Genomic DNA, 17,132 nt, shown 5'->3' on the forward strand with positions numbered 1-17,132 from the left:
GGGAGATATTCCTTCCAATATCAGAGTGAGTGTACACCTTGTGATATCATTCGTAATCTCCTAGAAAGATGTTGCTGCTAATATCACAGAGGGTGTGCCCCCAGTGACATCATTCGAAATATCCTAAGGAGATGTTACTCGTAATGTCACGGGGGTTGTACACCCTGTTATATTATTGTAATATTCTAGGGTGGTGTTACTTTTAAAGTCAAAGGGGTGTACACCCTGTGATGTTATTCGTAATATCCTAGGAAGAGGTTACTCCTAATATCACAGCCTGTGATAGCATTCAGAATATCCAAAAGGGATGTTACTTTTAATGTCACATGGGGTATACACCCTTTGATAATATTCGTAAGATCCTACGGACATATGACTTCAAATATCACATTGGATGTACACACATGGTGTACACATTGTGTGTGAACACCTCCTGTGATATTATTCATAATATCCTAGGAAAATGGGACTCCTAATATCACGGTCAGTGGACACCCTGTGATATGATTGGTAATATCCTAAAGAGATGTTACCACTAAGGTCACAATGTCTGTACGCTCCCTGATATTATTCGTTATATCCTCGGGGGATGTTACTCCTAATGTCACACGGGGTGTACTCCCTGTGATGTTATTCGTAATATCCTAGGGTGATGTTACTTTCAATGTCACCGGGGGCATATATCATGTGTATTCAACACCTGTGATACTATTCCTAATACCCTAGGGGCATGTTCCTCCTAATGTTCACATGGGGTGAACACCATATGTGTACACCTGCTGTGATATTATTCGTAATATCCTAGGGGAATGTTACTGCTGATGGCACAGGAGATGTACACCATGTGTGTCAACCGCCTGTGTCATTATTCGTAATATCCTAGGGGGATGTTTCCTTGAATGGCACAAAGTGTGAGCAAAAGGTCACAGAAGGTGTACACCTTGTGATGTTATCTGTAATACCCTAGAAGGATGTTACTCCTAATATGTCACAGGGGTGTACACACTTTGATATTATTTGTAATCTCATAGAGATATATGTCTTCAAATATCACAGTGGATGTTCACACATAGTGTATACCCTCTGATATTATTCGTAATATCCCAGGGATATGCAACTCCTGATATCACAGTGCGTGTACCCGGTGTGTGTACACCCTTGATATGAGTCGTGATATCCAGGGTAAATATGCCTCCTCATATCACACAGTGTGCACACCCTGTGATATTTTTAATCATACTTTAGGGAGATATTGCTTCTAATGTCACAGTGGGTGTACCCCATGTGTGTGTACTCTGTGACAGTATATTCTATATCCTAGGGAGGTATTACTCGTAATGTCACAGTGGGTGTTCACCCTGTGATATCATTCTTATTTGACCTTGCTGCCTTTTTTAACCCACACTACAAAAGGAATGGAACAGATAAGAAGATATTGAGATTAGACTGTGCTGCCGTGCGGCCGCCGCAGGACACTTTTCATATCCCTGTTTCTCAGGCTGTACATGAAGGGGTTCAGCATGGGGGTGACCACCGTGTACATCACTGAGGCCACTGCACTCTTTCTCGGGGAAGATGACACATCTGAACCGAGGTACCCTCCAACGCCTGTTCCATAAAATCAGCAAACAACTGACAGGTGAGACCCACAGGTGGAGAAGGTTTATACTTCCCACCTGATGATGAAACCCTCAGAATGGAGGAAAGAATTTTACAGTAAGAGAAAAGGTCCCTGAGATGGGAAGAAAACCAAATATGGCAGCAGGGAAATACATGTTGATGTTCCTGGTGAAGGTGTCACAACATGCAAGATGGGGGAGTTGAGAAGGTTCCCAGAAGAAATTAGGAATTTCCACATCCTTGGAGCAGGTCATTTGTAAGGCAATCAAGTTGTGCAGGTGGGAGTCTAGAAGACTGAGAAAAACAAACAAACAAACAAACAAAAACAAAGACAACAAATCTAGGAAGCCACAGAATCACGGGTTCAAGATGGCTGAACGATATAGAGGGTGACAGATGGCTACAAACCGGTCATATGCCATCACACTCAGGAGCATGCCTCTCTTCCATGCTTCCAAAAATGGCAAAGAGAGACATCTGAGTCAGGCAGCCCGCATAGGAGAGGACTCTGCTGTGAGACTGGATGTCCACAATCATCTTGGGGACCGTGGTGGAGGTGAAACCGATGTCAGGCAAGGGCAGGTTGGAGAGGAAGAAGTACATGGGGATGTGGAGGTGGGAGTCAGGGCTGATGGCCAGGATGATGAGCAGGTTCCCCAGCACTGTGACCAGGCACATGGACAGGAACAGCCCAGCAACGACCGGCTGCAGTTCTGGATCCTCTGAGAGTTTGAGGAGGAGGAATATAGAGACATCTGTTAGACTCTGTGGGTCTGTATAGTTTGGACACCTTTTGCCTGGAAAAGATGGTTGAAAAATCAGAAACAAGTAAACCAATACCCAGCCTTGTGTCTGCATTTTGGATATAAGCAATTCACAAGTAATGTTTTCAGATTTCAGAGCAATCCACACTCAGCAATATTTTGTAGTTCTGACAAGCTCAATTGCCTTATAATGCTTTCAACATCGATTGCTGTGTTATTCACGTCTTGCTGTACACACCTGCCTTAGAGACACTAGCTTCAAGAACGTTCCAAGAACCAGATCATCATATATAACAAATTCGTAATTGCTAGAAAATACAGCCTATCTTTTCCGAAGAACAAGATGTAATAAAACCATTGTCTTCACTTTAAGAAAAAGGTTATCCTAATTAAAGGAAATTAAGAACTCAAATACTTTATTTATTCTACTAGATTGTTACAAATTCCCTTGATTTAGAACATTTGTAAACACTGTATAACAGCTGAGACCATGCCATCTGGAAATGGAATGAAAGTTGATAGTTCATAAGCAGAAAATAGTTCCACATGCCAGTTGGGTCCTAGTGATTTCATCATTCTGTTTTCGGACTTTTCTCCTTCAAGAGAGTAATTGCTTACTCAAATCAGTGGGTCTTGTTTTAAAATTCATGGAAGCTCTAACTCCTGTCCTTAGCTTAGGTGGACTTAGAGTTTTCATCAGAAAGTTTGGCTGGATGCGGTGGCTCACGCCTGTAATCCCAGCACTTTGGGAGGCCGAGGAGGGCGGATCACGGGGTCAGGAGATCAAGACCATCCTGGCCAACATGGTGAAAACCCACCTCTACTAAAAATACAAAAACTTCGCCCGGTATGGCGGAGCGCGCCTGTAGTCCCAGCTACTCGGGGGGCTGAGGCAGGAGAATGGCTTGAACCTGGGAGGCAGAGACTACAGTGACCCGAAATCACACCACTGCACGCCAGCCTGGGCCAACAAGAGCAAAACTCCGTCTCAAAAAACAAAAAACAAGAATCAAGTAAGTCAAAGTCACCCTGATGACAGCCAATTTTGATGAAGCAAGGAAGGGTCAATTCAACCATTAACATAGATTTTGACTTTTGCTGTCTCCTATGTGCCAAGAAAGATATAGGATCTGGGGAATCAGAAACAAAAGAGACTCTCTTGTTCCTCTCACAGTACTCAGTACTTACTGAGAGAAGGACAAAACAAAACGTCCTGTGTGGAATGCAGGGAAAGCAGAACTTCAGGTCAGGGGATATTTCCGTTGAATTGTGTGGAGTTGAAGCTGAAAATCTTAAGGAATGTATCTAAAATTCACTTTGCCTTTACTTTATGTATCCGTCACCTAGAGATCACGCAGCAGGCGCCCACGATCAGCTTAATCGTCACTCACTTCCATCGGATCAACTGGAAATCAAGTCAGATGAGAGTGCTGAGTCTCAGAGGATGGACATCTCACCCCTTGCCATACAGAGAAGTAGAAAGGGTGGTATTCCAAATTCATGGCCAGACTCGAAGTCCCGGGTACTATACTTCTTGGTCTTCCAACTCTCAAAAAGTTGTGGGGTTTTTTTGGTTTTTGTTTTTGTTTTTGTTGTTTTGAGACGGAGTCTCGTTCCCTTGCCCAGGCTGGAGTGCAATGGAATGATCTCGGCTCACCGCAACCTCTGCATCCCAGGTTCAAGCTATTGTCCTGCCTCAGCCTGCCAATTAGCTGAGATGACAGGCGCCCGCCACTACGCCTGGCTCATTTTTTTCTATTTTGAGTAGAGACGTGGTTTTACCATGTTGGCCAGGCTGGTCTCGAATTCCTGACCTTGTGATTCACCTGCCTCAGCCTCCCAATGGGCTGGGATTACAGGCGTGAGCCACCGCTCCCAGCTTCCAAAAGTTTTAAGCAGAGCTCAGAGGTCTTAACCACAGGCACATCGGAGGAGCATTTTTGAAACACTTTCCAGCTTCCTCATTAGGAATGGAAGCCAAACTCCGAATTGATGACTCCTTGGAGGAAGTCGAGAGCTGTAAGGAAAGCCAGGAACAGGGGCAAGGGAGAGATGTGTCCCAAATGATCCTGTGCCAATTCTTTCTGGAATCCTCGATGTGATCTCAGCTGCTGTTTCCATACTTGACACAGTGATTGTGGCACTCACTGGTCTAGCTGTGGTCTACAAGGAACCCCCAAAGGGAAGGGCACAGTGAGCAGGGGCATCCGCCTGAGTGACGAGAATTTGAGAGGACAGGTTGGTTGCAGGGAGAGGACTGGCCAAATGCCATATGTCTGGACTTAGACTGCCTGGTTGAAAATGGACTTCACCCTTTTTGACTTCATGATCAAGTACGAGTGATTTGAAAAGGCATTGCTCCTTTTCTAGTCTGTAAAATCATCCTGAAATGTGCACTAATAACGTGGAGACTACGCAGATGAAATGAAACAAGCTGCATAGAGCACAGAGCTCAGAGCCTGGCCTTTAGGAAACCCTCAGTAAGGGTTCATGATGCCATGGTGTCTGTCATCATCCTCTTTATCCTCATCATCACCTTCATAATCTTTTTGTTGTTGTTAGGGAATAGTTTAGAGGGACCGATTCCCTGCTATCATGGGTGAGATGTCTATGAAAAGGACAACCAGTGGGGGAGGAAAGCAAAATTTTGAATAAGATTTCTGAGACCCCCAGCACATCCAAGAACAGAAACTGCACACTGCTGAGCGGACAGTTTGCACTTTGTTCTCCTCCCATCTGCCCACCGCACTCTCCTGTTTATCCTGAGGAGGAGGAAACCAAACAAGGCTCCCGACCGTCCCTCAACACTCACTTGAAGGGGTGGCCTGGCCCTCCACACCTGTGGGTATTTCTAGTCGGGTGGGATGAGAGACTGAGGAAAGAAATAAGACCCAGAGACAAAGTATAGAGAAACGACAGTGAGCCCAGGGGACCGGCGCTCAGCATACCAAGGACCTGCACTGGCACAGGCCTCTGAGTTCCCTCAGTTTTTATTGATTATTATTTTTATTATTTTAGCAAAAAGGAATGTAGTAGGAGGGCAGGGTGATAATAAGGAGAAGGTCAGCAACGAACATGTGAACAATAGAATCTATGTCATAATGAAGTTCAAGGGAAGGTACTATGACTGGACGTGCACGTAAGCCAGATTGATGTTTCTCTCCACCCAAACATCTCAGTGCAGTAAAGAGTAACAAGGCAGCATTGCTGTAAACATGTCTCACCTCCCACCATAGGGCGGTTTTCCCCCATCTCAGAATTGAACAAATGTACAATCGGGTTTTATACCGAGACATTCTGTTCCCAGGGTCAGGCAGGAGACAGCGGCCTTCCTCTCCCTCAACTGCAAGAGGCTTTCCTCTTTGACTAATCCACCTCAGCACAGACCCTTTACGGGTGTCGGGCTCGTGGACGGTCAGGTCTTTCTCATCCCATGAGGCCACTTTTCAGACTATCACATGGGGAGAAACCTTGGACAATACGCCGCTTTCAAGGGCAGGGCTACCTGAGGCTTTCCACAGTGTACTGTGCCCCTGGTTTATTGAGACTAAAGAATGGCAATGACTTTTACTAAGTATACTGCTTGGAAACATCTTGTTAACAAGGCACATCCTGCACAGCCCTAGATCCCTTAAACCTTGATTTCATACAACACATGTTTTTGTGAGCTTCAGGTTGGGTCAAAGTTGCTGGGGCAAAGCTACACATTAACAATATCTCAGCAAAGCAATTGTTGAAAGTACAGGTCTTTCTCAAAATGGAGTCTCTTATGTCTTTCCTTTCTACATAGACACAGTAAGAGTCTGATCTCTCTTTCTTTTGCCTACACTCACTGAACTGCCCTTCCCCTCTGCTGGGCCATGACCACGGAGAACAGGTCCACTGTCCTCTCTGCATGGTGCACGACGGATGCTCAGACTCCATCCTCAAGGCTGGCAAGAAGACAGGGTGAGACATGAGCCTCCTGATACAGGTGATGGGAGTGGAGCCCACAGGACTGGAACCTCACACTGCAGGGCTGGAGGCACAGACTGAGTATTTACTGTTCTGTGGCCTGGGGGGCTCAAGGCACAGAGCTCCTCATTAGCCAAAGTCGCCCAAGTTCCCCAACCTCTAAGGATTCCTCATCATCATGCAAGAAGAAGAAGAGAAAATGATTGTCCATAGAAGCTTTGGGGCTCTTCCTCTAATCAGGAGAAAGCTGGTGTGTATTCTTCGCTTCTTTCTTTTCTTTTTAAAAATCCAACTGCTTTAATTTTCATCTTTTATTATGGGAAAATATACCACATATAAATATGAAAAATTATAAATATATATTAGTTCATATAGAATGGCCAGTATAAACATTTACAGTTTCCACGCTTTTTCAGTTTACAGTTTCATGACATTAAGTACGTTCACATTGTTTAGCAACCATCACCGCCATCATCTCCGGAACAGTTTTATTTTTCAAAATGGAAATTGCAACCATTTACCAAGCTCTCCACTCCTCTCTCTCGCCCAGCCCTGGGGCCACCTTTCTAGTTTGCAACTCTAGGAGTCTAACTACTCTAGACACTTGATAGATAAGTGGAATCATACCGTGTTTAATTTTTTTTTTAGATACAGAGTCTTTCTCTGTCGCCCAGGCTGGAGTGCAGTGGCATGATTTCGGCTCACTGCAACCTCCACATCGGGGGTTCAGGCAATTCTTATGTCTCAGTCTCCTGAGTAGCTGGGATTACAGGCGTGCGCTATCACGCCCAGCTAATTTTTGTATTTTTAATAGAGATGAGCTTTCACCATATTGGCCAGGCTGGTCTCGAACTCCTGAGCTTAAGGGATCCGCCTGCCTCAGCCTCCCCAAATACTGGGGTTACAGGTGCGAGCCACTGAGCCTGGACATGTTTATCCTTTTGGGATTTATTTATTTCACTGACGATAATGTCTTCAAGGTTCATCCATGTTGCGGCATGTGTCAGAAGTGCCTGTTTTTTTTTTTTTTTTTTTTTTTTTTTTTTTTTTTTTGATTTGGTTTTATTTTGTTTTGTTTTGTGTTTTCATGGAGTCTCACTCTGTCGCACAGGCTGGAGTGCAGTGGCACAATCTGGGCTCACTGCAACCTCCGCCTCCCGGGTTCGAGTGATTCTTGCGCCTAAGCCTCCTTAGTAGCTGAGATTACAGGTGCGTGCCACCACACCAGCTAATTTCTGTATTTTTAGTAGAGATGGGGTTTGCCATGTTGGCCAAGCTGGTCTTGAACTCCTGAGCTCAGGTGATCCACCCGCCTCAACTTCCCAAAGTGTTAGGATTACAGACGTGAGCCACTGTGCCCAGCCCAAGGGTGTGGATATTTTCTATAGACTTTTGATGATAATACTTTGACAGCAAATATATTGTGTCTATCTATATATACATTTATATATATATATATATATATATATATATATATATATAGAGAGAGAGAGAGAGAGAGAGAGAGAGAGAGAGAGAGAGAGAGAGAGAACGTGTGAGAGAGACAGCGAGAAAGAGAGAGTCTCCCTTTTTCACCCAGACTGGAGTGCAGTGGCACAATCATAGCGTGCTGCGGCCTTGAATTTCTGGGCTCAAACAATCCTGTCACCTCAGCCTCCTGAGTAGCTGGGACTACAGGCATATACTACCATGCCCGGCTAACTTTTTATTATATTTTTTTGTAGAGATGAGGTCTTTTTTCCCGGGTTGGTCTTAAACTCCTGGCTGAAAGTGATCCTCCTGCCTTGGCCTCCCCAGGTGCTGGGGTTACAGGTGTGAGCCATTGCATCTGGTGTGAAGCTGGGATTGCAGGTGTGAGACACGGCATCCGGTGTGAATATCTCCTGGTAAATACCTTGTACTTTCACTTTCATTAAGATGTCTTTCGTCCTCATGAAATTATCTGAAAAACGGATGAAACACTGTTCTGCTCCATCTTCCCCGCAGGCACTTGGGCCCCATCCTGCTCTCCTGCCCCCCTCTTCTAGTGAATGGCCAGATAGGAACTATTGCAGGTTTATGGGCCACGTGGTCTCTGTTGCAAATATAACAGCTCTGCTGTTGTAGTGCTAAAGCAACCACAGACCATATGGAAACCATCTTTCCTGCATGGCCTCTGTAATCTTTTAGAAATACCCGTTGGGTCACACCACTGCCTGACTTAAAACATATAGATGACCTCTTCCGTCTCCTAAGCTATTAGGTTGGTGCAAAAGTAATTGCTGTTTCCATTCAAAGTAATGGCAGAAATTGGCTGGGCGTGGTGGCTCACACCTGTAATTCCAGCAGTTTGGGAGACCGAGGCACGTGGATCACTTGAGGTCAGCAGTTTGAGATCAGCCTGGGCAACATGGTGAAACCCCATCTCTAGTAAAAATACAAAAATTAAAATTAGCTGGGGGTGGTGGCGTGTGCCTGTAGTCCCAGCTACTTGGGAGGATGAGGCAGAAAATTGGCTTGAAACTGGGACTTGGAGGTTGCAGTGATGCAAGATCACACCACTGCACTCCAACCCGGGTGACCGAGACAGACTCTGATAAAAAAAAAAAAAGTAATGGCGGAAATCACAATTACTTTTGCACCAACCTAATAAAAGTCAAGTCCTGACCACAGCCTAGGAAGCCGGCTATGACGTGGCCCTTGTCACCCTCTCCAAGTTCAACTCCCGAGACTTTCCGTTTCCTCTCTGCTCCCCGCTCCGGCCTCCCATTCCTCACTCGTGTTGCATCAGATGCCTGCGCACCCTGGTGTTTCCGCATGTGCTCTTCTGTTAGCCTGGAAAGTTCTTTACTCCCTCTTCATCCAGCACTACTAGATACCTCCCCCTGCCTTAGCCTAGCCAGGTCCCCTGTCATTTAGTCTCAGAGTATCTTGAATGTCTTCTTCACAGCCCAACTGACAACCCTCACTCACTCGCTGAGTGGGTGCCATCCTTTCTCTCCACCTAGAATGCAAGCTCCCTGAGGGCAGGGGCTGGAACCGTCTTGTTCTTTGCCAAATCCCCAGTGCCATCTCTGGCACACAGTGGGCATTATGAAAATATTTGCTGAGTGCATAAAAGGAGGGAATCATGCATTTGAGCCCTCGGCTTGGTGCCCTGGGGATGTGGCTCCATAAAATCAGTTCCCATTTTTTCTCTCTCTTCTCCTGGGAGGTGGGTATCTGGGTTCTCCTGCCAGGAGAGCTTCTCTCTCATAAGACTCCAGGTGCCTCTTGGCCTAGGCCTGCCTCCTGCTAAGTGAGACTCTTTAGGGCTAGTCTGCATCGACTCTGCTGAGATGCAGCCGCCAGAGATGGGTAACGTGGGCAACCCTTGGCAGGTCCCTGGGAACGAGGCTTCCGAGTCATCTGGATCAACTAGTTTGAAGTTACAAACTCACCAGATGTTGGTCAGCTGGCATCTTAGTGATGAGCTGGTCCAACCCCCCTTGTTGTAGTCAAGTCACTTGTGCAAAGCCACCACTTGGCTGGGACCCCAAGCTCAGGCCCGTGCTCTCTCCATGGTCCCAGGCTTTACACTAAGGGAATGTCAACTGTTCTCTAGAATCACTTGGACTACTTTATACTTTTGTGTCTCCTTTTCCTATTCTGTATTCTGGAAAAACAAAGTTTTCCTTGTGATTGAACAGACTCTTCACACTGTGTTATTGCTGGCATTGTTCTAAATTTAGCCTTGGTTCATCCCCAGCTGGAGTGAATGACTTTAATTTGATCAGCTGCTGTCTGTGCTTGGGAGCCTCCGAAGGGGTCCTATGGCCTTTAAGGCTCCTTTCCATACTTAGATCCTGACCTGGGGCAAACACACACTCCAGCTCGTTCATGTCCAGATAAGACACCTAGAGGCCATGGCGAGGGTTCCCCCTGTCGGGGCACTATTGCTGTTGAGAGGATCAAGGCAGCAGTCAGGGCCTGAGTGTTGTCCAGAAGAAAGCACAAAGTGTACCGAGCGCTGGTCTGACAGCACTTAGGGGTGTGACAGAAACCTTCTGTCATGAAACCAGAGATTGGAGACTGTGGGAACACATCCGAATCCACATCTCCATGACAAGGTGGTGCTGATTTCCAGTGGTCCTCCCTGGTGGGGGAATCACGTAGCTCTGACGGTGGAGCGTGTTGTTGTGTTTCTCTTTCAGTATGAGCTTGTCTGTGGCCCTAGGGTTCCTCCCTTATGAAATAATGATGCCTCCCAACACAGGACATCCCAGGCTGCAAGCCTGTCCCTTCAGCCCAGCTTCCTTACCCCTGTGCCCCAAAAGCCCACAGCAGGGCCTGCCAGAGGCTGATGACATATCTGTCACTGTCCCAAGGGGGCAGGGGCAGCGACGGAAATATTAGGCCACAAAAGGCATGCCTGCAGGCACATATGAGGGAAACACCCAAAGCCAGATGTCAATGAAACAGTAATTCGGTGGAATAGGAGAGGTCATATTCTCATGCAAGACTGTCTAAATACATAAGTCTCCTTGGGCACAATCTCCCAGGGGACAATGGTTCATGCCGAGACAGCTATTACACTGTCTTGCTAAGAACTTCCAACACACACTTACACACACACATACACACGCACATATGCATGCACACACACGCATGCATACACTCATGCACCCACACACACACATGCAAGCACACATACAGATACACACACATGCACAAACACACATACAGATACACATACATATAGGCACACACATGCACACACACAGATACACACATGCACACAAACACACGAAGGCACACACACATGCAACAAATGCACATGCATACAGACACATGCACACACAGGCAACACACATGCATACACATACATACACACAGGCACACACAGATGTACATATGCACACGAAGACACACATGCATGCACACACATGCACACAGACACACACATGCACACACAGAGATACACATGCATGCACATACAGGCACACACATGCAAACACATGCACACGCAGAAATGCATGTACACCCCTGTACACACCGTACACACACATGCACACAAAAACACGTGCACACACATGCACACACATACACACATACAGATGCACACACAGACACATGCACACAGATACACACACATGCACACATCCACATGCACACACGTGCACACACGTGCACACACATGCACATGCACACTTGCACACACGCACACACACACACATGCACACATACACACAAACCACTCCTTTTCCATTTCTCTAATTTCCAATTTTTTTTCTATGAGCTTCCTCAGACTCATGATCTTGATTCTAGAATGAATTCAGGGAGTAAGTGTGTATTATTGAAATAACAGTAAATTCAAACATGCCTAAGAAGCTTTTTGAATGTTGGGGAAACCATCTCACAGATCATTCAAATGACCCGAGGAGACACTTCACCAGGGACCCTTGGACATGTCCCTGTCCCTTCTGCCGACCTCTGTGCTGTAATATCAGGGGACAAACCTCTCGATTTTGGTTTCTCATCTCTTTGTCCCCAGGTACACTGGACTGCACTACTGTGTCAAAGCTACTTGTAGCCTGACCTGGGAAATGCACTTTTGGATTCACTCGATTTGCCACCTATTTGGGTGGTTTGGGCTGGAAACTGCCCTGCTCACACTCTTGGCTCCCAGCTGCTCCTGCTTTGGGGGCGCCTAGAGACCCCAGCTCATCCCGTGGGTCATATCCCCACAGTGGGGCCGGGGGTGCGACTGAGAGTTGTCTGGGCACCTGTCCCCAGCAGCATTGAGGATGGCGCTCAGCACTGTGTGATGTTGGCTGGTGGCCACTGCCTGTTTAGGTCGAAATGGCCCAGCCTGATGTCCACAAGCACCTCTGCGGCACACTGGCCTGCAGACCCCCGAGCATGCGCTGCATGCTTCTCACCTCTAGAGTGGCCACCCAGACAGCGATACAGACACACCAAGAAAATCCACAGGCAAGCCCAGAGGAGCCCGTTCTACTAGGGCCTTGTGAGCCTCTGTGATTTGAGTCACGAGCTTCTTGTGGTGATTTCATTTGGCTAACATCCAACACAGTGCATTTAGAGACTCTTTCTCTTGGACATTATATGGAGGAGTGGCCATGGTTTGCTGAGAGAAATGTCCCAAAACACCCCTCAATAAAACCAAATAACAGCTCATCAACTCCTTACATTTAAAAAAAAATTGACATCTTATAAATAGCAAATATTGGATGACAATAAGGCACAGGAAAAAGCTCATAAGCCCAGATCAGCAGTCATCCTTCAATTGTTCCTTAACTACTGACTGTGCACCTGTTCTGTACCAGCACCGCAACCTAGATGCAGGGACACCACACGAAATAAGATGACAAAGCACCTGCCCCTGTGGAGCTGAGCCACTAGCAGGAGAGACAGTCACTAAACGAATATCTCTATCCTGTGGTTTCTGGGAATGACAGTCACATAAAAGTATAGAAAGGGATGGAGGAAAGCTAATTTAGCCAACTCAGGATCAGAATGGGGAGGTGGTTGCATCCCTCAAAATTCAGAGTAGCTGGAGTGCAAGCTTTGTATTAGCTGAGCCTGAATCCGGGCCCTGCCATTGTCCATGGTGTCCTCAGGCAAATGGCTGAACTCCTCTGGCCACCGGCTTCAAGTGCAGAACAGGGGACCAGAGTCCCATCTCTCAGGGTTGTTGCTGTGGACTGAATTGTGTTCCCTCCAATTCACTCATTAGGAGCTAATTAACGTTAAAGGAGGTCATAAGGGTGGAATCCTAATCTGATAGGATTGGTGGATTTATAAAAAGAAGAGATGTCTCTGTCTCTGTCTCTGTCTCTCCCCCTCTCTGCCATGTGAGGACAAGCAAGAAGGCTGCTGTCTGCCAGCCAGGAAGACAGCCCTTACCAGAAAGGGATGGTGGATACTTTGATCATGAACTTCTGGCCTCCAGAACAGTGAGAAAATCAATGTCTGTTATTTAGGCCATCCGGTCTCGGGTACTTTGTTATGGCAGCTGGGCTGGCTGAGGCAGTTGTTGAGAGGAACCGACAAGGTAGTTGGGGTAAAGCACACAGCACGGCCACAGCTCACTGAGCACAATGTCAGTCTCATTCCCCTTCAATTGTTATTCTCTGTCTGGAGGATTTTCATGATGGCTTTTCTCCAAGAAGCTCCCTGGGGTCTTTGTAAATATGGGGATATATCTGACAAGAAAAATCCTTACGGTTCTTAACATTGACAATGATCAGGAACAGCAAGACATGAAAATGAGAAGGTGGCTAGAAAAGAGAGGACCCACAGAAGAAACCAACAACCACATAACACACACACACAGGAGGAATCCTAATGCAGGAGAATAGAACATCAGGGGACCCTGAGACTGAACTCTGCATCTCATGTATTGAGATCATTCCCTGATATGGTTTGGCTGTGTCCCCACCCAAATCTCATCTTGAATTGTAGCTCCCCTAATCTGCATGTGTCATGGGAGGGACGTGGTGGGAGGTAATTGAATCATTGGGTGGGTCTTTCCCATGCTGTTCTCATGATAGTGAATACGTCTCACGAAATCTGATGGTTTTATAAAGGGGAGTTCCCCTGCACAAGCTCTCTTGCCTGCTACCAAGTAAGACGTGACTTTGCTCCTCATTCACCTTCCACCGAGATTGTGAGGCCTCCTTAACCATGTGGAACTGTGAGTCCATTCAACCTCTTGCCTTTATAAATTACCCAACCTCAGGTATGTCTTTATTAGTAGCATGAGAACAGACAAATACATTCCCTAAGCCTCTCTTTTCCTCTGAGACAGGCTTAAACTGAATAGCCCCATCTTTGCAGGCCTTGAATAGTAATACTGTTATGTGTTATATTAACATGTACTTTACTGAAAGTCTCTGGTTTTTGTCTCTCTGAACATAGGCAGGCATTGCTGAAACTTGCAGATGACACTCCAAAATGCATTCTATCTTAAGATAAGAAGAGAGGGTGGTGAGGAAAAATTGTACATACCTTCCCCTTGATGAAGAGGTCCCCGTGGTGTGGCCGGCCTTGGTATAAGCCTTTTGGCTCTGTTAATTCATGAGGGCTGAGTCTGATTGATCCTCATGGGGAAGACTAACAAGGGAATCCTTGGCAACCATTAGGAATAACACTAATGACCCAGAAAGTGGTTCTGTCTTCATGGGGCATCATCTGTCTTGTTTACTGAGTGATCTTCTGGCTCATTTTTCTTCCAACCAGGGTTGGAATTCAATAATTCTAGTTCCTTCCCAAATTTTAGAGCTGGGAAATGCATTCCTCAGGTATCTGCTTTTCAAAAGTGAACAATATCTGTGGAGCTCAACTCCTAAATAGTGTGACTTTGTCTGTTTATGTGGTTCTCTTGCTGACTGCCTGGTTGCGACTGTGCCTGAACTCAGGCCTCTGTGTTTCTGAATCTTAGAAGCGGTGGTTGGCATGTCAAACTTGAAGTCATTGTCCTTTAGTTATCTGAGTGTTATAATTGAACAGCACATTTATTAACAAGACTTTAGTAAATCCATCAGCATTCTAGGGAGCTTTGATTCATTGACCTATCTCTAATGTACGCAAAGGCTGCCATAGAGTCGCTAACAAGAATTCCATCTTTCCTCAGAACCTTCGATTCGCTAGGGTCGGAGTTCATACCTGTTTCATGAAAAATGCAAAACCATTTAATCACAGCTGTTCATAGTATGCCTATTCTAAGAGACCTCTGCTGTTCCTACCCCAGGGACCGCCAGAATAATTAAAAGTCACAGAAATCAAACAAATGGGCCTCTGGCTAAATTATAGAAGATTAACCCAGGAAGAGCACTTATTAAATAGTAAGCAGTCCCCGAAAATATTAAAGTACAAAAAGGATTAGAAATTGTTTTAAGTGTTGATTCCAACTTCAGGTGCTGTTCTTCCACTCCACTGCGGAAGGGAACAAATGGATTTTCCCGTCCTAAAGACAGTAACATTCATCACGCCCCTTGGAGGCTTAATAACATCTCGCTTTATTTTATTTTAATTGTTTATTTATTTATTTATTTTTGAGATGGAGTTTCACTCTTGTTGCCCAGGCTGGAGTGCAACGGCGCGATCTCGGCTCACTTCAACCTCTATCTCCTGGGTTCAAGCGATTCTCCTGCCTCAGCCTCCTGAGTAGCTGGAATTACAGGCACATGCCACCATGACCAGCAAATTTTTGTATTTTTATTAGAGATAGGGCTTCCCCACGTTGGCCAGGTTGGTCTCGAACTCCTGACCTCAGGCGATCTGCCTGCCTCGGCCTCCCAAAGTGCTAGGATAACAGGCGTGAGCCACCGCCCCCGGCCAATAATATCTCACGTTAAGCAAGGAGTTGCTGTCTGCTGTGTGGCCAGAGAGAAAACAAGCCGCCATTACAGAGGGAGGTGGTATTGGGCTACTTTTTTTTGGAAACAACAGCAAAATGTGAGGCAAATCCGCTTTTAGATCCTGGTTACACTGCTGGATGGAGCTTAGCAAGCCTGTGATAGGGTAGCCTGGTGGTGGCTTGGGGGACTCCTAGCCATGTCAGACAGGACAGATGCCTTTGAGGAGAGATGGCATAGCGTTGGCTCTCAGGCCCCCATTGCAGGGGGACCAGGCTGTTTATGGATCAGGTGGGAACCCTGTTAGAAAAATAAGAGGAGGCTGGGTGTGGTGGCCTACACCTGTAATCCCAGCACCTTTGGAGGATGAAGTGGGTGGATTGCTTGAGCCTAGGAGTTTGAGACCAGCCAGGGCAACTTGGCAAAGCCCTGTCTTTAGAAAAATAATAATATTAGTTAATTAATTAGTTGATTTTTTTTTTTAAAGAAAGAGAAGTGGAGCTAAGGAGCACAGAGCCTGCCAGAAAGCCAAGGTGACCAGCTAGAAGGACACAGAAGAACATTACCATAGTTCTCTCTGAGCTTTTGGACTAGGGATGCTTTCATGTGGTTTTCATATCAAACATACTTTAATTTTATACTTAGCCGGGAAAGACCTAATACATACAATAAAGGTAACACGAGACAAAACTCTCACCTAAGCCTAACATCTTAGATGCTCTACTGGGTCTCTGCAATTTCTATTAGGGACCCCATGGGTTTGAATTGCATTCTAGATTTGTTAAGAAGATCCAAATGCTCAACCCCTTCAACCACCCCGCATCCGTCCACCCCATTTACAAAAGCCAAGTGAAAACTAAGGAGGGACCGGGTGCAGTGGTTCACACCTGTTATCCTAGCACTTTGGGAGGCTGAGGCGAGGGGAACACCTGAGATCAGGAGTTCGAGACCAGCCTGACTAACCTGGTAAAACCCCGTCTCTACTAAAAACACAAAAATTAGCAAGGTGTGGTGGTGGACACCTATAATCCCAGCTACTTGGGAGGCTGAGGCAGGAGAATCACTTGAACCCGGAGGCAGAGGTTGCAGTGAGTGGAGATTGCACCACTGCACTCCAGCCTGGGTGAGAAAAAGCGAAACTCCAAAGAAAAAGAAGAAAGGAAGGAAGAAAGAAAGAAAGAAAGAGAGAAAGAGAGAGAGAGAGGGAGAGAGGGAGGGAGGGAGGGAAAGAAAGAAAGAGAAAAAGAGAGAAAGAAAGAAAGAAGAGGAAGAAGGAAAAGAAGGAAGGAAGGAAAGAGAGAGAGGGAGAGAGGGAGGGAGAGAGGGAGGGAGGAAGGAAGCTAAGGAGGAAGGTGGCTTGTACAGAGGTACAGAGGCCCTCAGGTCCTAGCCGGCACTGGTGCCTACGCAGGTTCCAATGGGCTGAGCTTTGCAAAAAGCTCATTGTGTAACCCAG

General features: G+C 46.2%; 1 pseudogene; it reads right to left on the reverse strand.

Annotated features, from left to right (window-relative positions):
• On the reverse strand, positions 1,445–2,403 carry OR7E59P (olfactory receptor family 7 subfamily E member 59 pseudogene; annotated as a pseudogene).

The sequence above is a fragment of the Homo sapiens genome, chromosome 7, assembly GCF_000001405.40.
Source record: "Homo sapiens chromosome 7, GRCh38.p14 Primary Assembly".
NCBI lineage: Eukaryota > Metazoa > Chordata > Mammalia > Primates > Hominidae > Homo > Homo sapiens.